At 44.9% G+C, this 20216-nt stretch overlaps 1 pseudogene, besides 1 other annotated feature; it reads left to right on the top strand.

Moving 5' to 3' along the window:
• Positions 290 to 14035, top strand: NCOA5LP (nuclear receptor coactivator 5 like, pseudogene; annotated as a pseudogene).
• Positions 12879 to 12938: a silencer, noted in NCBI's record as "silent region_7464". NCBI's record gives its function as "represses an Ori minimal core promoter by ATAC-STARR-seq in GM12878 lymphoblastoid cells {active_cell/tissue: GM12878}" and the evidence as "EXISTENCE:reporter gene assay evidence [ECO:0000049][PMID:35858748]".

Below are 20216 nucleotides of genomic sequence, written 5' to 3'. Positions count from 1 at the left end.
ATGGGCAAGAGGAAACAAATGGAAAGGGCAGAAAATCCTAGAAATTTATAAAACACTAAAATAAGAGCAGAGCAGACTATGGAGCGACATTTACCTGCAGATAGACACAGGCTTTAGTGACTATAGATTGCGCTGGGTGATCTGGTATTTGCTTTTTGGCTTTTGGGGGTACACTTAGAGGGGAAAATACATCCGCAAAATATTTGAAAAAATATTTTCATATTTTTCAGTTATGAAATTATGAATATTTTATGAAATATTGAAAAATAATTTCAATGCATATTTAACAGCATTGAGGGATTACGGGGGAAATGTGGCTGATTCTTCAAAAGGGAATGAAGACAACCGGAGCGGCGACCCTGGTGCTCTCCCTTCAGTAAGAATCCTGTTGGCCAGGCGCCGTGGCTCATGCCTGTAATCCCAGCACTTTGAGAAGCCGAGGCAGGTGGATGAGGACTGAGGCAGGTCAGTAGTTCGAAACCAGCCTGACTAATATGGTGAAACCCCGTCTTTACTAAAAATACAAAAATTAGTTGGGCGTGGTGGTGGGTGCCTGTAATCCCAGCTACTTGGGAGGCTGAGACAGGAGAATTGCTTGAACCCAGGAGGCAGAGGTTGCAGAGCGCCGAGAAAGCGCCATTGCACTCCATCCTCGGTGACAGAGCGAGACTCCACCTCAAAACAAAAACAAAAACAAAAACAAACAAAATGAATCCTGTCGCAGTTCTAGTGAGTTTCTCGTCTGTTCTTGGTAGCGGTGTTGTCTTTCATTTACCCTTTTGGAAAGAGACCCTGAAAACCTTCAGCAATTGCTTTTTGGGCTGTGCAAAAACACAAACGCATAGATGTTTTTCAGATGATGCCAACATCAGGGACACTCAAAAAGAGAAGCTTTTCCAGCCCTTTTATCAAGTGATTCAGAAAGAGTGGAAGTGAGAGAGGCCTTTGGATCGTGTTATTGTTTGTATCGACAAAAAACCGAAGTAGCGTTATTTCTTTGTAGCGTGTCAAATGAGATTGTGTACAAACCGAATAATTTAGTGTCCAGCCTTGAGCACGCCAGTCACTGAGAGCTGGGCCTCCCGCAGTGCTCTGTGAGAACACTGCTTTAGGAACTGCGAGAATGATGCTCTTGGCGTCACTGGTGGTAGCGTCGCTGGTGGTACTGGAGTGACCTGAGGGTGGGGATGTTTCTGAAGATTACTGTCTTATGCATCTTTTCTGTATTGCTTGAGGGTTTTCTTTTTTTCAATGAACATCTATCAATTTCTCAATCAGAAAAAAAGTTCAAAGCTATTTTGGGGGATGGGGAGTAGGTACCATGTGCCAGGCACTATTCTGGGCTCTGGGGATACTTTGGTGAACACAACAGGCAAAACCACTGCCCCTGGGCACTGACAGCTGCTGAGCTTTCAAAGAAGGATTTATCTCATTTCTGAACTGCTTCTCCAACTCCTCTCTGCCTTTATCTGTGTGATTTTGTCTTTAGTCTGGGGTGCCTGTTCCCTCCTCTCCGCCTGCTGAACTCATGTGGACAACTTAAGCACAGTGGCAGCCTGGTCCTCTGGGCATCCTGCCCCACTGCCCCTGCCCTCTCAGCTGTGTTCAGCTTGTCCCCTGGGCCCATGTAGTGTCCTGGTGTCAGGGAGCATTGGCTGGCACTCGCTCTGCTGTGTTAGACATGTTGGTTTGCTTCTGTCCCCTATCTTGAGGACAGACAGACTTAATATGTGATGATAACTGTGTCTCTGGGTGATGTCAGGTTTCACCATGCTTGGCAAACAGCCTGGCGTGTAGACAAATGGCCAGGTGGGGGGATGCACACTTACTCTGAGCTAGCTGCTCAACAAGGGACGCTGACCCAGGCTTGATGAGCACGGACAGTCCCAGCACAGAAGACCAGGCACACACGGGACACAGCTCTGCCCTGGGCTTTCTCACCTTTTTAATATGAAAATCTGCAACCTTAAATTCAGATGACTCAGAATGTTTATCATGATATCCTCTTTGCAGAAATTGACTTTATCTGTAGAAAGCATCTGTTCTCTAAGAGTTTTTGAAAGCAATAATACAGCCCCATCTCATTCGGAGGGTATTAGGGTTGGACCTTGGGAGATGATGTACTAGAAGAAATGAGGTCAGTCACAGCATGCGGGTGGAGAGGACAATTCCTTTTACATTCAAAAATGATGGAATTTCTTTTTAATAATTGAAAGACCACCAGACGTGCCCAGGATTAATTTGATCATATAGTAATTTAAACCAATTTTGAACCCAGAGGCAGTAAAGACCCAGCATTCACGGTAGCTTTGTTTCTTGCAAAGCTGCAATACTTTGCTACAATACTGTGCATCACCCAGGGTCACTGCATTAATCTTTGACCAGATTCCCTTTCTCAAGACTTGTGGCAACCATCATATCTGACTTGTAGCATCTTATGATTTTAAAAAAGGTTTTTTTTGAGACAGAATCTCACTCTGTTACTCAGGCTGGAGTACTGCGGTGCAATCTTGGCCTCACTGCAACCTCTGCCTCTGGGGTTCAAGTGATTCTCCTGCCTCAGCTTTCTGAGAAGCTGGGATTACAGGCGCACGCCACCACACCCAGCTAAATTTTTTTTGTTGTTGTTGTATTTTTAGTAGAGATGGGGTTTCACCATGTTGGCCAGGCTGGTCTCGAACTGCTGACCTCAAGTGATCCACCTGCGTCAGCCTCCCAAAGTGCTGGGATTAGAGGCATGAGCTACCATTCCTAGTCCTTCTTTTATTTGTTTTTAGTTTTTAAATTTAGAGATGGGGTGGTCTGACTATGTTGTCCAGGCCGGTCTCGAACTGACAGCTTCCTGCAATCCTCCTGCCTTGGCCTCCCAAAGTGCTGGGATTACAGGTGTGAGCCACTGCATCTGCCGTGTGATTCTTTTAGAATTGTGACTGACACCAGCTGCCATTGGACTTACACAGCCCTGATATTCTTGCCACCTTGCCATCTACAGAGCTGGGCCCACTGGTGTTGATTTGAGGGCTGCCTTTTGTAGTGGAGAGGCATGGAGGTTGTGTTTCTTCTCCCCCTCCACCTGGAGTGGCGTTTAGAAAGGACTCCTCAGATGTCACCCAGCCTGGTGATCTGGGTTCTAGCAGTTAGCCATGCATTAGGGGACTGGGTGGAAGCAGCTTTGGAACTCTTCGGCCGCCATGTAGACTGCAGCCACCCGGGAACCCTTGAGCTGGGGCATGTTGCTGGCTCTGCTGTCACTCTGATGTCAGGAAGGTGTGTGGTGATAAATTAGTTGGCTAATCCATCCCTTTATACTCCAAAACAGTAATTAATTTTCAAATCATGCTATCCAAATGTGACTTATTTTTGTGATCATTTTGAATCACAGGCTGTCACTCCGTAGATATGAACCATGTTGTGTTTTTCTTGCTTTCCTTTTGAATTTATTTTCTGGAATCATCCATCCTTTTCTAAATTACCAGAAAAGCATTTTTCCTATTATCGTATTAATTTGTAATTCACAAAACATACATTTAATGTGCACGTGTTATATGTAGAGCTCTGTGCTTGCACAAGAAGGAACATAATTAAGTAATAATTCTTATTCGTAGGTCATGCAGCCTAATAAGATAAAACATGTACATAAATAACAATAGAAGTCCTGACATGCTAAGAGGGTTTTTCCACTCTAGGAAGAGGGTACAATTGAGGAAGAGTGGATTACCATTGTAAGGGGTTCAAGGAGATAAATCAAGGGGGTTTCAGGGAGTAACATCATTTGAACTGAGCCTTTGAGGGAAGGGCTGGTATGTGTCCAGCAAACAGACAGGCAGAGAGGACACAGCTGGAAGAAAAGGGTGGAGAGAGTCCAAGGATCACAAGAAATTACATTTGGGAAGAGAATAGGATGTCTGGGGCCCAGTAGGTTACAAAACATGTGAAGATAGGTTGAAGCCCTGTCTTGCCAGGACTGTGAGTGCTAGGGTAAGACATTTAGGATGCCGAGCAGTTACTGTGGCGTTTTTGAAAGTAATACTTTTAACAAGATTACTCAGAGGCTGAAGTGTAGGACGGATTGGAGTGGGAAAAGAAATTGTGGTAGAGGCCTTTGCAAGTTTCTAAGCAAACGTTGGGCAAGAATGGAGGCATGAACCCAGTGGAGAGGCCTAGGACAGATTCCCTGGGACTAGGAGACTGGGGCTGAGGAAATGAGAGATGAGATGACTTCGGGTATTGATCCAGCATTAGTTATAGGATGGGCGATGTTGGCTAAAGTGGCTTCCGTGTAATTCCTTCACTTTCACTTGTGTATATGTGTATGAATGAATGAATGAGGTAGGGTCTCATTGTAGCTCACTGCAGCCTTGAACTCCTGGCCTAAAGTGATCCTTCTGCCTCAGCCTCCTGACTCTTAGGACTACAGGCTTGTGTCACCATACCAGGCTAATTTTTTAAATTTTTTCTGTAGAGACAGGGTTTCGCTATGTTACCCAGGCTGGTCTCAAACTCCTGGCCTCAAGCGATCTTCCCATCTCGGCCTCCCAAAGTGTTGAGAGGACAGCATGAGCTCATTCTTTTACTCTTTAGCAAGGAATCATCTTGGTGGTAACGACCACAAGTATGGGTCTGTCCTGGGAACTAACTGTGGATGAGCCTTCTCTCATTTTTCTGAATGTACTTTTCTCATCTGTTCTTTAAAATCATCTTTTATCTTCTTTTGTGATCTTTCAATTGAAATGACTTCATCAAATAACACTTGAATGTTTCCATTTTGAAAAAGGACATTTTAAAAATGTTTTCATTTTGAGAAAGAACATTCATGGTGCTTACCCAGTGTATCATGTCAAACGAAAACACATCTCCTGCTTTCTTTATACAATCATAGACATAGTCAACCCTATGAAGACACTACATCTTCAAAAAAGTAAGTTTCCTGTTCGCCAGAGTTGCTTCCAGTTCCCTTAATTGATTCCATCAGACAGACTGCATAGCCTTCAGTGTTTCAGTGTGTCTAAGAGTGAAAACAAGTTGTGAGACTTGCGTGATTTTTTTTTTTTGAGACAGGGTCTTGCTGTGTCACCCAAGCTGGAGTACAGTGGTGTGATCATAGCTCACCATAGCTTCAACCACCCAGGCTCAAGTGATCCTCCTGCCTCAGTCTCTAGAGTAGTTGGGACCACAGGCACATGCCACCATGCTCGGTTAAATTTTTTTTAAATTATTTGTAGAGATGGGGGGGTCTTACTATGTTGCCCAGGCTGGTCTTGAACTCCTGGGCTCAAATGATTCTCCTGCCTTGGCCTCCCAAAGTGCTGGGATTACAGGTGTGAGCCACCGTGCTGAGCCCATGCATGATTTAAAAAAATGTATAACATCTTATATCTCACTTACCTAAATACAGTAAAAATATAGGATCTTATCCCTTACTTACTTAAATTTGTGGATCAAATTATCTATATAACAACTGCTTGGTGACATAGATTCTTTTCTTTGACTGAAAGTAACCTTGTGTGTGTGTGTTTTAAGGGAATATGCAGCAGTTATAGGTCATCGTTTGTGGGATCATGGCCTCGTGGTGGAAACAATCCACCTTACCTCTGATTGGGTCTTACTTGTGCACTCCAAGGAGTGAAAGATGATGGTTCCCCATTATGTATTCTTGTTGAACAGTCCAACGTAAAACTTTTTTTCTTGCACCTTAATTATGCTTCAAAAGTCTATCACATCACTTAAAATATATCCTACTTAAAAAATGTAATGTTTTTTCTTTGTACACCGGTACACTTTGAAGGTTCATGTTGGTCAATGACTAAACTGAATCTAATTGCGGAAAAAAAATCACAAAGTACTCTCCTGTGTATTACTAATAACTGAAGCTTACATCATTTTCATTGCTTCTTACTTAAGAACCCAAAACATCTCAGCCAATATATTAGGTAATCAATTCAGTCCTCTTATCTGGCATTTTTTTTTTTTTTGAGATGGAGTCTCTCTCTATCGCCCAGGCTGAAGTGCAATGGTGGGATCTCAGCTCACTGCAACCTCCGCCTCTCGGGTCCAAGCGATTCTCCTGCTTCAGCCTCCCAAGTAGCTGGGATTACAGGCACACACCACCACACCCGGCTAATTTTTGTATTTTTAGTAGAGACGAGGTTTCGCCATGTTGGCCAGGCTGATCTCAAACTCCTGAGCTCATGTGATCTGCCTGCCTTGGCCTTCCGCAGTACTGGGATTAAAGACTTACTCAGAAATTTTGACCAAATTCCACCCCCAGCTTTTCTACCCTTAGCGATACCCTGCATTCTCTTAGACTTCCTTTCTTATCAGCTTTGCCTTGTCTATAAGATCTCATCCATTCCATTATTGTTAGGCTTATGAGAATGCACAAAAATGACCACTCTTCTCCTCCCTAGAATATACAGACTTAGGCAGATGAACACATTCTAGACCACCCTTCATCTCCTTCTTCCTGGTCACACCTGCTGCTTCCACCTGTCTCAGCCCCATCTCCTGCCCTGGACAGTAGATGGACACTGGGAATGGTATTCCTCCCAGCTGCAGGCACTTAAACTGCTGTTCCTCTCCCTTTCAAGAGGGGAGGGGGCTGCCTTGCAAAGAGCCTCCTTTACAGCTCACCTGCAATCCCATCCCAACAAACATGGGTTTTCCATTCCTTTCTTCTTTGCAGAAGTTCCCGGTACTGCTCTAGTCAGTTCAGACATATTGAGTGCCTCCTGTATGCTAGGCACTGTGAATGATGTCAGGCCAGTGCTGCTTCTTTTCTCTGTAGGTAAGCAGCCATCAGGCAGACTTCTCCAACAGGCCCTGGATCATCCGTCCCAGCTCATGTCTCCTTAGCAGCGTTGGATTTTCATTGCTAGGTTGGGCGAACCTTCCCTTGAGTGTAGAGAGCACCAGTAGCTAGATTTATATCATACCTGTAGCTTCCAGAGCCTGCAGAGAAGGGAATGCAGGGTTAGTGTTCTAAATCCAGGCATAATATTGGGTCTGAAGAGTGAAAAGTGAAGGACATTTGTGCCCCATCATCTCAGGGATGCCGGGACAACTCTATTCCCACCTTTCTATTTACTGTGCTTCCGTATCTCCACCTGGCCAGCTCTTGCTCCACACTACTCTCAAGAGTGTAAAATTATGGTTTTTCTCAGCTAATAATGGCTAATTTAATTTATCAATCTAACCCACATTTATGTCATACATAAGTTCTGGAAATGTAAAAGAACACAGACTTTCACTAAGTACAGATCCCAGTCTCCTGGCGTGAGGAACAGTTTAATTTGAGCTGGTTGTGGAAAAGGACTAATTACGTCTAGTTACTTAAGTGTTTACATTCGTGCAAGATCATTTAGGAAATTATCACTGAAGTAAGTAGGTTGAATAATTTGTTGACTACTAAAATACTTCAACAAAACTAGCGCTACTTCAAAAAAGCATATAATTTACTTTTAACATATTACAAATTCAGAAAATAGTTTCTTTTTCGTGTCCAGAATAGTATTGTTAGGGACACATTTCATTTGTCATCCATTAATTTAATTATTGAACTCAAATCATAAATAAAAAGAATACTGTTTTCTCCAGAAAGCTACATCTGTTTTAGTAAATTACTCTTAGCTGGGTTCTCTTTCACAATGCTTTGTGGCCAACAGTTCATTTCATACTTTGCATGCGGCCATTATTAAGAAGCATGTGCCAAGACAAATACTTAAAACAGTCAAACAATGAAACTTCAGAGCCTGAAGGCAAATACGTATTCCTGTTTCTTCCTGAATGTAACCTTAATAGACACAGTTTAAGATTTAGCCAATGCTGTAATCTCCACTGCAGCTCTGTATGCCTTTTGGGTGCTAAATTTGTTCAGAACTTGATGATCTATGGCAAGCCAGGGTAGGGGACTCCCGTCCAAGATTAAACTTTTATGAAGTCTTATTCTCAGCAGATAAACCTGGGAGAGATTACAAGACATCTATGTGTTGACTACAATCATTAAGTTATGGGAAAGCCACTCTTGGTGTCTCAAGTTTATTTTATATGTAGTATTTAGAGCCTGGAGCATTCCCAACCTGACCTGGAAAGGCCTTTCCATGGCTTAAGATCCCACAGGGCTGAGCTGAAGACAGCAGAACCACGCAGAGGAAGTGGGTTACCCTGCATGCTGCAGTGAGGGTGCTTGAAGCCCAGCATTGGCACGTCCATCTGTTTGTCTATCTGTTTTATTAATGCATTGCCTGTACAAAGTTAGAGGAAAAATGAGCAGTACAAGGTTCACAATGAAAAACATCGGTCAAGCCGGGCACAGTTGCTCACACGTGTAATCCCAGCACTTGGGAGGCCAAGGCAGGTGGATCACCTGAGGTTAGGAGTTCGAGACCAGCCCAACCAACATGGTGAAATGCCGTCTCTACTAAAAATACAAACTTAGTCGTGCGTGGTGGCGCATACCTGTAATCCCACTACTCAGGAGGCCGAAGCAGGAGATTCACTTGAACCCGGGAGGCAGAGGTTACAGTGAGCCGAGATCACACCATTGCATTCCAGCCTGGGTGACAAGAGCGAAACTCCATCTCAAAAAAAAAAAAAAAAAAGAGAAAAAGAAAAACAGCGGTCCCTTGCCACACTCTCTCTAGTCCCCACTCCGCTCTGGAAAGGCTGCCATTCCCAGCCCCTGGCTCTTTCTTCTGTGAATCACACACATCTCAGTTGTGCACCCTGATGCTGGAACCAAATAAAACACCTTCTCCTTTTGAGTTCATTTTTTTAGTCTTTGAATAGCCAGCAGTGTTCACCCTTTTTTAGGCCAGGTTTGTTTAGACATAAGAATTCCCATTGACACACAGCACCTCCATCCCCCCGACCCCACCCCGTCAGCCTAGCCTGGAGGTGTCCACTTGTGAAATGAGGGTTTGTGTGGAAGTGGGGAGCCACGCTGCCAGTTGTTATGGTTTTGAAACAGAATGGAATGTTTGATTTTGAAACCCTTCAGAGTCCCTGCTGCTGCGAGTCCTAGTCACTCTCATCCATAGACAGTCACAGCTCCACCAAAAAGCAGAGACAGTTTAAACAACTTGTGGCTAGATTAATTGTGTTTTCTGATGGTTTTTTCTCCTTTTTTGTAAATGTGTTTTTTAAAAATCAGGGCGCCCGTGTGGTAAAACAGGCTCTTCTTGTCCCTGGTACATCGTCCTGTGCCCTCGAGGATGCACCGGGGCTGGTGACTGAAGCACTTAGGAGATTTCTTGCTAAGTGGGAGCAGCAGGAATGTCCTGCAGTTTCTCAGAGGGCTGGAGAGCAGGCAGATGACATTCCAGGACAGGAGTGCCACCGTAGCCACCCCAGCCTCCGTGCACTCAGCACCTTCTCTTCCTGTTAAATTTGGGGACACATTTGTACAGGGATGAGTTGAGCCTGATCACTGACTGCCTGAAGACCAGAAAAGGACAACTGGGAGGTATTTGGTGCTGTCCCTTTTCCCTCCCATTTCAGATACCAGAAAGTCCTTTTTCTGCACATCCATTTGTGAAGGAAAACCAAAAAAATTTTCCTTTATGAGAGAATGTGCCTCTGTAATGTGTATATCCTACAGAGGCATTGGATTTGAGTGTGTTTCAGATAGGAATAGACTGTTTCAGTATTTCACCTTTATGGACAAAAATGCTTCTTCTAAAGCTAAATTTTCTTTTGAAACAGATTTTAAATATATAAATAGAATGACCTCTAAAGATAGATGGATGTGTAAGAAATAGTTCCAGTTCCCTATCAGTTTATTTTCCTGATTCTATATTTCAGTTTTTGTTTTTAGTTTTATTTTTTAATAGTTTGTTTTTGTTGTTGTTGTTGTTTTGAGATGGAGTCTTGCTCTGTCACCAAGGCTGGAGTGTAGTGGTGTGATCTTGGCTCACTGCAATCTCCGCCTCCCAGGTTCAAGCGATTCTTCTGCCTCAGCCTCCTGAGTAGCTGGGATTACAGGCACACACCACCACACATGGCTAATTTTTGTATTTTTAGTAGAGACAGGATTTTGCCATGTTGGCCAGGCTGGTCTCAAACTCCTGACCTTAAGTGATCCACCCCACCCACATTGGCCTCCCAAAGTGCTGGGATTACAAGCATGAGACACTGTACCTGGCCTAGATTTCAGTTTTTAATTGAGACATTTGTAAGGTTACTTTTAAGTACATGGTAAATGTGAAGAAGCAACTCCTAATCTTGAAGGTTTTATTTTATTTTTTGAGACAGGGTCTTGCTATGTTACCCAGGCTGGTCTTGAACTCCTGGGCTAAAGCGATCCTCCTGCTTCATTCAGCCTCTGGAATAGCTGGGACTACAGGCATGAGCCACCACTCCTGCTTAATCTTAAAGACTTTAAAGAGCATTCCAATTAGAAGCCAAACCCTTGAAGTAGTGACTTTTTCGTTTGCTTGTTTTGAGTTAAGTGGGTGAGAAGAGAATAATAATCACTTGTCCCTTTTAGGAAAAAGAAGCAGGCTGTGTTATAGGACCATGTTAAAGCCGTAAAGAAATTGTTTATCTTACAAAACACAGAATGTGATTGATTTTGGTGCAATTTTATTGTACCTACTTTCTCAGGGCAGGGGGAACCCATGAATTTAAAACACAGCAGTCTTGTTTCTTTTTGATTATAGAAATCTCAAAGTCAGTGAACGTGAAGATCTTTCTTGAGTAGGCTGTTGTTCTTTGTGTGGCTTGCTGGCTTGGACTGCAGACTTCTGCTAACCGTTTGTTTTCTTCCTTTTTCCAGGCTTGGAGATGCTGGATCCTTCAGCCAGCAGTGAGCATTCCTCATTTCAAGGCAGGAATCCCCCCCATTGTGGGCAAGCTGCCTCCACTTCTTCCAACTCCTGGCAGGAAATCCTTCCTGGGTCCCTCCTTCAGCTCCTGTCAAGTCCCGTTTGTGAGGTGATAGGCCTGGTGGACACCTCCTTCCACTGCCAGCTCAGTGCTTCCCCCTAGGGACACAACAGATGAGTAGCTCTTCTGCTTCTCGGAGAGCTCCCCGGAGACAGCGGGCAGTTTAGAGCCATGGCAGCGTGTGCTGTTTTATATATATATATATATATATATATATATATATATATATATATATATATATATATATATATTTTTATGGAGTCTCACTCTGTCACCCAGGCCGGAGTGTGGTGGCACAATCTTGGCTTTCTGCAGCTTCCACCTCCCAGGTTCAAGCAATTCTCCTGCCTCAGCCTCCGGAGTAGTTGGGACTACAGGGATGCACCACCACGCCTGGCTAATTTTTGTATTTTTAGTAGAGACAAGATTTTGGCATGTTGGCCAGGCTGGTCTCAAACTCCTGAGCTCAAGTGATCTGCCTGCCTTGGCCTCCCAGAGTGCTGGGATTACAGGTGTGAGCCACCGTGGCCGGCTGAGAGTGTGTTGTCAATCTGCCACGTTAAAAAACAAGTTGCCAGTGAAATCTTTATGGAAAGGTGGCTTTCACCTGGACCTTAAATAAAATTTAGATCTGGGGATGTCTTTGTAAATAAGAGTCAAATACAGCTTTGACCTTTTATGGGAACCGGGAATTTTTGAGCCAAAAATCTTTCTTATGAGCACAACATTTCAACCTTGACTGCTGTTGGGGATTCAAATAGAGGGAATATGCCAGCTTGCTTTGGAAGCTGTACATGTGCAGGCCTTTGATTGTCAAGGTCAGCCTGTATTGACGATCCTCAGCCCTGCGGGGGAGCATTTCTGTGCCCCACCCCCTTTTGACCTGTTGCCTTTGGAGATGGGTGAGAGTCCGGTTCTGCCTCCCCACCCCCATGCCCTCCTATTTGGGCTTCCTTGCTCTTGTGCCTTTCCTTTTTCCCTTCCTTCCACTGGTCCTCCCCTCACTCCCTGGGCCTCTGGACTCAGCCTCCCAACTCCCGATGGGCTCAAGCCTCCCTAAGACTGGGTGTGTCTCCTGCTTCAGGCCCCCTCTTGGCTCACCCACAGGCCCATTGTGAGTACCTGGACTTTTCCTGTGAGGAGTGAGCAGAGAATGGGGAGAAGGGCTCAGGAAGAAATCTTTCTGCTCTCATTTGCCTCCCATCCTTGCCATTAGTTTAGGAACAAAGCTCTTTCTGACCTTCACAAAAGGCCCGGTTCAGGGCCTTTATGGTAAGCACTTTGAGAAAATGTCTTGTGTAGCAGGGTAAGGGCTGTGCCGGACAGCCTGCCTGTCCAAGAGGGACAAGGCTGGGTGCTGGGTGGTGTGCCAGGCCAGTATTCTGGATGGCTGGAGGGAGGCCAGCTTTTGAGGAGCAGAGGATTTCAGCCATTAATGGCGCATCTGGGAACTTCACTGCTTTGAATGTTTAAGAATATGTGTTCCAGGCTGGGTGTGGTGGCTCACACCTGTAATCCCAGCACTTTAGGAGGCTGAGGTAGTGGATCATCTGAGGTCAAGAGTTTAAGACCAGCCTGGCCAACATAGTGAAACCCCGTCTCTACTAAAAAAATTAGCCGGGCATGGTGGTGGGCGCCTGTAATCCCAGCTACTTGAGAGGCTGAGGCAGGAGAATCACTTGAACCCAGGAGGCGGAGGTTGCAGTGAGCTGAGATTGTGCCACTGCACTCCAGCCTGGACAACAAGAGTGAAACTCTGTCACTCACACACACACACACACAAGCAAAAAAAAAAAAAAAAAAAAGAATATGAATTCCAGGTGTCAAAAAACAAACAAACAAACAAAAAAACAACACTTCAAAACAGCACATTTAGAACGAAACCCCCTTGTACAAAGGAGAATGGAGGACCAGGACATTACCACAGGCTCAGACTAGACCAAAGGTTTGCAAACTTTTTTGTTGTTTGTTGTTAAAGAGACAGAATCTTGCTCTGTTGCCTAGGCTAGAGTTCAGCCATGCAGTGATAGCTCACTGCAGTGTCAATGTGCTGGGCTCAAGCAATCCTCCCACCTCAGCTTCCTGAGTAGCTGGGACTATAGGCATGTGCCTCCATGCATGGCCACCATGCATGGCTAATTTTTAAATTTTGTTTTGCAGAGATAGGGGTATCACCCTGTTGCTCAGGCTGGTGTCAAACTCCTGGGCTTAAGTGATCCTCCCACCTTGGCCTTCCAAAGTACTGAGATTACAGGCATGAACCTCTGCGCCTGGCCACAAACTTCTTTTTATAAAGGGCCAGAGAGTAAATATTTTAGGCTCTGTGGGCCAAGAACCAAAATCAAGGATTTTATGTATATACTTACATAACTGTTTAGAATGTAACCACTTAAAAATAGGAAAACTGGCCGGGGGCAGTGGCTCACACCTGTAATCCCAGCACTTTGGGAGGCCAAGGCGGGCGAATCATTTGAGATCAGGAGTTTGAGACCAGCCTGGGCAACATGGTGAAACCCTGTCTCTGCTAAAAATACAAAAATTAGCCACGTGTGCTGGCAGGCGCCTGTAATCCCAGCTACTTAGGAGGCTGAGGCACGAGAATCGCTTGAACCCGGAGGGGCGGAATTTGCAGTGAGCCAAGATCGTGCCACTGCACTCCAGCCTGGCTGACAGAGCAAGATTCTTTGTCTCAAAAAAAAAAAAAGTTGGGGGAGGGGGAAACCATTCTTAGCTTGAAGGCCTCAACCAGGCAGCAGGGCTGATCTGGTCCCAGATTCTGGTTTGCTGACCCCTAATGGCTTTCTCTGGGTCTAAAGAAGACTTGGTGGAGCTTGCAGGGCTAAGTCAGAGCCTGGCGGGAGTGGCAGGTTACTTCCTACTTAGCCCCTCTCTAAAGATGAAGAAAGATCCCTTTGGGGAGAGCAGCCAGAACTGGATTTATCATGTTTACCCCTGTCTATATTTTTGTTTTTGTTCTCTGCAGGACTGGTCAACCCCGAAGGTCTGTTTTTCCCTCCCCTGCTTGTGGCAGGCCTCTCCAAGAGGCATAACCCTTTGGGGTGCCCTGAAGGATCCCCTAGGCTTCCCCAAGCCTGCCAAGCGCCCAGTACTTGAAGAGAAGCCAGGCCTTTTAGCACTGCCATCAGGTGAGTAGCCAGGTGAGCTGTGAGTGGCATTCTAGGCTAGTGCTGTCCGGTAGAACTTTCTATGATGGGGGAAACACTCTAGGGTTGTGCCATCCAATACAGTAGCCCTTAGCTACATGTGGCTCTTGAGCACTTAAAATGTGGAGAGTACAACTGAAGAACTGAATTTTTAATTTTAGTTAATAGAAATGACCATAGTCACATGCAGCCGGTGGCTACCATGCTGGACAGCACAGTTCTAGGCTGTTGGAGATCTCAAGAAACTGTAGCAATGGGTAGAATGGTGTGATGTTTTTACCAAGAAATTCGTTACTTAGATTTTTTCCCCCTCCTTCTTTCTTTTTTAGAGTTGCAAATGCACTTAAAAAAGGAAATATATCTCTTTCACAAATGGGTATGATTCTCAATTGCTATAAAGTAAGAAGGTAACTAAAAAAAAGCACAAAACAGTGTTACTAAATTCCTGCCCAATAAGCTTAAGGGTTGCTCTTCGCTGGTTAAAAACAGGGGTTACTAAAGGTCAAGGAGGTGTTCGTGGCATACCGACACTACTAGAAACCCTCTCCTTGACTTGTTCAGAAGGATTGCAAGAGGTTGGCAAAGGGAACATCTTCTTTTTTGTTTGTTTTTTTGTTTTTTGAGATGGAGTTTCACTCTTGTCGCCCAGGCTGGAGTGCATTGGCGTGATCTCAGCTCACTATAACCTCTGCCTCCCGAGTTCAAGCGATTCTCCTGCCTCAGCCTCCCAAGTAGCTGGGATTACAGGCGCCCACCACCACACCCAGCTAATTTTTGTATTTTTGGTAGAGATGGGGTTTCATCATGTTGGCCAGGCTGGTCTCAAACTCCTGACCTCAGGTGATCCGCCCGCCTCAGCCTCTCAAAGTACTGGGATTACAGGCATGAGCCACCATGCCCGGCTGGCAAAGGAGACATCTTCTAATGAGGTTGAGTGTCTGGATCATGGGCCTGTGAATCCTTAAGTCCTCTGGAGATGTGGATGCCCCGTATCTGCTGGCTCAGGGAAGCACACAGTCCCTCCCCTGCCTGGGAGGACGACAGGAGTCTGATCTGCCATGTTTAAGGTACTGACCAATACCCAGCCCTAGGCTGGAGCCTGCAGGAGAATCAAGGCTTTTTCTCTATCTTCCTTTTCAATGAAGACCTGGCCAGCTCTCACCTCCTCAGGTGCTGCCTTTTCTCCTGTGCAGCAGAGAAGATGAGGCTAGAGGAGTCACCTAAAGCACAGAGGGTATTAATCTGCCCAAGGTCACGCCTGGGCGACAAGAGCGAAACTCCGTCTCAAAAAACAAAAAAACAAACAAAAAAGAAGATGTTCCCTTTGGCAACCTCTTGCAATCCTTCTGAACAAGTCAAGGAGAGGGTTTCTAGCAGTGTCGGTATGCCACGAACACCTCCTTGACCTTTAGTAACCCCTGTTTTTAACCAGCGAAGAGCAACCCTTAAGCTTATTGGGCAGGAATTTAGTAACACTGTTTTGTGCTTTTTTTTAGTTACCTTCTTACTTTATAGCAATCGAGAATCATACCCATTTGTGAAAGAGATATATTTCCTTTTTTAAGTGCATTTGCAACTCTAAAAAAGAAAGGAGGGGGAAAAACTAAGTAACGAATTTCTTGGTAAAAACATCACACCATTCTACCCATTGCTACAGTAGTGTCTGGTGGAGCTGAGACTGCACACTGGCCCTGTGACCCCCCTGCCTGGGCTCTTCACCACCACACAGTCCCAGTGGCACATACATGTTATCAAGTTGATGTTGCTTTCAAAGAAAATCTTAGATTTTTTCTTGGATTTCAACCACATCCACAGCCCACACTTACTTACTTTCTTTCTTCTTTCTTTCTTTCTGTCTGTCTTTCTTTCTTTCTTTCTTTCCTTCCTTCCTTCCTTCCTTCCTTCCTTCCTTCCTTCCTTCCTTCCTTCCTTCCTTCCTTCCTTTCTTTCTTTCTTTCTTTCTTTCTTTCTTTCTTTCTTTCTTTCTCTCTCTCTCTTTCTTCTCTTCTTTCTTTTCTTTATTCCTTTCTCTCTCTTTATTTATTTATTTTTTTAGACAAGGTCTTACTCTGTCACCCAGACTGGAGTGCAGTAGCTCGATTTCTATCTTGGCTCACTGCAACCTCTGCCTCCTGGGTTCAAGCGATCCTCCCACCTCAGCCTCCCAAATAGCTGGGACTGCAGGTGAGCGCCACCACACCTGGCTAATTTTTGTGTTTTTTGGAGAGATGGGGTTTCACTATGTTGCCCAGGCTCTTGAACCCCTGGGCTAAAGTGATCTGCCTGTCTCAGCCTCCCAAAGTGCTGGGATTACAGGCATGAGTCACCATGCCCAGCCAGTACAGCCCCCCTTTGACAAAATGCCAGAAGTGTTTTCATGTCACTCACATCTTCTGATTCATCACAGTGTAGAAATTCAGAGGGAAGGAGTGAAGTTGTTAGTGCGGGTCTGGGTGAAGCCACAGAAGCCTAATGGAAGAGCCAGCCTCGGAGGAAGTCAAGTATTTGGGTGCCTGGAGGGGAGAAGGCACCGTGATCTCCTGCTTAGAGAGGGACCTTCAGGTGACAAGGGTTTAGGACTCATTGAAGGTGGGGGGATGGTAGGGTAGATGTCCCATATTCTTTGGCTGTCATCAGGATTAAATTAGATTTTTTTGTTTTGTTTTGTTTTGTTTTTGAAACAGGTTGTCACTCTGTTGTCCAGGCTGGAGTGCAGTGGCACAATCTTGGCTCACTGTAACCTCCGCCTCCGGGGTTTAAGTGATTCTCCTGCCTCACTCAGCCTCCCAAGAACCTGGGACTACAGGCACCCGCCACCGCCCCCCACTGATTTTTGTATTTTTATTAGAGATAGGGTTTCATCATGTTGGCCATGTGGATCTTGAACTCCTGACCTCAGGTGATCTGCGCACCTTGGTCTCTCAAAGTGCCGGGATTACTGTGGCGTGAGCCACTGCGCCTGGCCTAAATGAGATCATATCAATGAAAATCTTCTCGACTTTCCAAGAATTGCACAGATATCTGTCTGTTGGTGCTTGGTTAATCCAATTCTGCCTGCAAAGGCTGGTTGGTGTGGTTGGGGGAACTGACTCCGACTGATGGTTGGATGTGAGCCGATGCTGCGGTTTCCTCCTCTTCGCAGTTCCTTTGCAGTTAGAGCCACAGGAGTGGGCAGCTCAGCCTGTGTCTTTGCTGAACTAAGGGAAGCTCCACCGAGCCTGGAGAACAAGGTGGTTTCTGCCCAGTTGGTGGCGTCACCCTCCTTGAAGGCCCCTGCCTGGCCTGCAGCACTGATGTCCAGGCTGTGAGTACAAATGTGGCTTCCGTCTGTCTGAAACGTGGTCCCATAGAAACTTTTTCACGTTTGGGGTCTGTGCTGAACTAGATATTTGTGGAAAGTCATTTTGTAGACAGTAGGCCTCGCAGTTGTTCAATTATGTGCGTATTAAAATACAATAAAAATGTCTAACTTTTACATACTGGTTACCCTTGTTTAAAACCTTTTTATTTTAGAATAATTTTAAATTTACAGAAAATGTACAGAGATAGTACAGGGAGTTCCCTTCATCCAGCTTCCTCTGAATGCTGACATCTTATATAACCATGGTACATTTGTCAAAACTAGGAAATTAACATTAGCACAGCAATATTAACTACGCTACACATTTTATTTGTATTTCACCAATTTTTCCACTAATGTTTCTGTTTCAGGATCCTATTCTGGGTACCACTTAGATCTAGACCCCTTTTTATTTTATTATGTTCCAGTTTATTTTTTACCTTTTTTTTTTTTTTGAGAGTCTCACTTTTACCCAGGCTGGAGTGCAGTGGTGTGATCTCGGCTCACTGCAGCCTCAACCTCCTGGGCTCAAGCGATCCTCCCACCTCAGCCCCTCAAGTAGCTGGGACTACAGGTGCACACCACCATGCCTGCCTAATTTTTGGTACTTTTTGGAGAGATGGGATTTTGCCATGTTGTCCAGGCTGATCTCAAACTCCTGAGCTCAAGCAATCTGCTTACCTAGGCCTCCTACAGTGCTAAGATGACAGGCATGAGCCACCGTCCCTGGCCATTTTTTCTTATGAAACTTTTTTTTTGTAAATTAGAGACTGGGTCTTGTTTATGTTGTTGAAGCTGGTCTTGAACTCCTGGCCTTAAGCCATCTTCCTTTCTCAGCCTCTCTAGTAGCTGGGTCAATAGGCACACACCACCAAATCTGGCTTGAAACATTTTAAATATAAAGAAATTTGAATAAATAGTACATTGAACACCCATATATCTTGTATCGAGATTCAAAAGTTAACATGATATTTTTGTAAAAACTTATACATATGTCTGTGTACATTTAACTTTTTCCTCAACCGTGAAGATAAGTTGCAGAGTTTATGACCTCTCACTTTTAAGTATCTTAGCATGTGTCTCCTAAGAATGGGAACACTCTCCTATGTAATTATGATAGTATTAGCACACCTTAAAAATTAATGACAATTCTATAATCTCTAATATCTAGTTCTAATATTTGAATTTCCCCGGTTATCCCAAGAATGCGTTTATGGCTTCTTTTTAAAACTAGGATTTAATCAAGGTTTGTGCATTACCTGTAGTTTTTATATGTCTTCAGTTTCTTTTAATCTAAAACAGCCTTCTTACCTCTTTTTGTTTTCTCATGATACTGACTTTGAGTCCACGCCTTTCCCTTGTTTTGTAGAACCTCCTGCATCTGTTACGTGTCTGATGGCTTCCTCTTGGTGTCACTTAACTGTTCCTCTGTTCCCTGTATTTTCTGTATCCCAGAAGTTTGGCCTAGAGGCTTGATTAGCCAGGCTGTACATTTTCGGCAAGGGGGTTTCATAGATGGTGCTGCCTGTTTATGTGGCTTCGTATCAAAACATACATGACTGTCGTCCTGGTGGGAGAGCTCCTATGCTTGGTCACTTGGGTAAGGTGGTGACTGCCTGGTGCAGGTAGGTTTTTTCCTGGCATCAAGCAAATATCCTGTTCCCCACCAACCATTCCCCACCTGTTTTTTTTTTTTTCAAACAAAAAAAAAGGTCTCACTCTGTCACCCAGGCTGGAGTGCAGTGGTATGATTTCAGCTCACTGGAATCTCTGCCTGCTGAGCTCAGGTGATCCTCCTGCCCCAGCCTCCTGAGTGGCTGGGACTACAGGTACATGCCATCATGCCTGGCTAATTTTTGTATTTTTTGTAGAGATGGGGTTTCACCATGTTGCCCAGGCTGGTCTTGAACCCCTGGACTCAAGCTTTCCGCCAACCTCAGCCTCCCAAAGTGCTGGGATTATAGGAGTGAGCCACCGCTCCTAGCCCCCTACCAGCTTTTACCTAGTTGTGTCTATCGGTTTTTACCTGACTCAATTGTTATCTTTGACCTACCCTCCCCCTGCCTTTTTTTTTTTAAGGCAGTGTTTCACCCTGTCACCCAGGCTGGAGTGCAGTGGGGTGATCTCGGCTCACTGCAACTCCTGTCTCCCCGGTTCAGGTGATTCTCGTGCCTCAGCCTCCCGAGTAGCTGGGACAACAGGTTTTCGCCACCAACCTGGCTAATTTCTGCCCTCCCTTTTAATTGAGGTGTGCTAACTGCTACTACTACTTCTTCTTCTTTCATCTTTCTTCTTCTTCATCTTCTTCTTCTTATTTTTTTCTTCTTCCTTTTTTTTTCTTTTTTGGGACAAAATCTTGCCCTTGTCGCCCAGGCTGGAGTGCAGTGGTGTGATCTCAGCTCACTGCAACCTCTGCCTCCCAGGTTCAAGCGATTCTCCTGCCTCAGCCTCCCAGGTAGCTGGGATTACAGGCGCCCACCACCACGCCTGCCTAATTTTTGTCTTTTTAATAGAGACAGGGTTTCACCGCATTGACCAGGCTGGTCTCGAACTCCTGACCTCAGGTGATCTGCCTGCCTCAGCCTCCCAAAGTGCTGGGATTACAGGCGTGAGCTATGGCACTCAGCCAGAGGTGTGTGATCTTAAACATTCAGTTTAGTGAGGTTTGAAAATTATACCCATATAACTTGCACCCGAAACAAGTTATAGATGTTTCCATCACTTCATAATGTCTTATTGTGTCCCTTTCCAGGCACGCACCATCCCCTCCAAACGTTTTCTGACTCCCATGACCTAGGTTTTCTGTTCTTATATTTTATGTAAGTGGAATC

The sequence above is a fragment of the Homo sapiens genome, chromosome 16 (assembly GCF_000001405.40).
Source record: "Homo sapiens chromosome 16, GRCh38.p14 Primary Assembly".
NCBI classification, from domain to species: domain Eukaryota; kingdom Metazoa; phylum Chordata; class Mammalia; order Primates; family Hominidae; genus Homo; species Homo sapiens.
The sequence above is the reverse complement of the archived record's forward strand: the minus strand, read 5'-3'. Positions and strand labels throughout refer to the sequence as shown.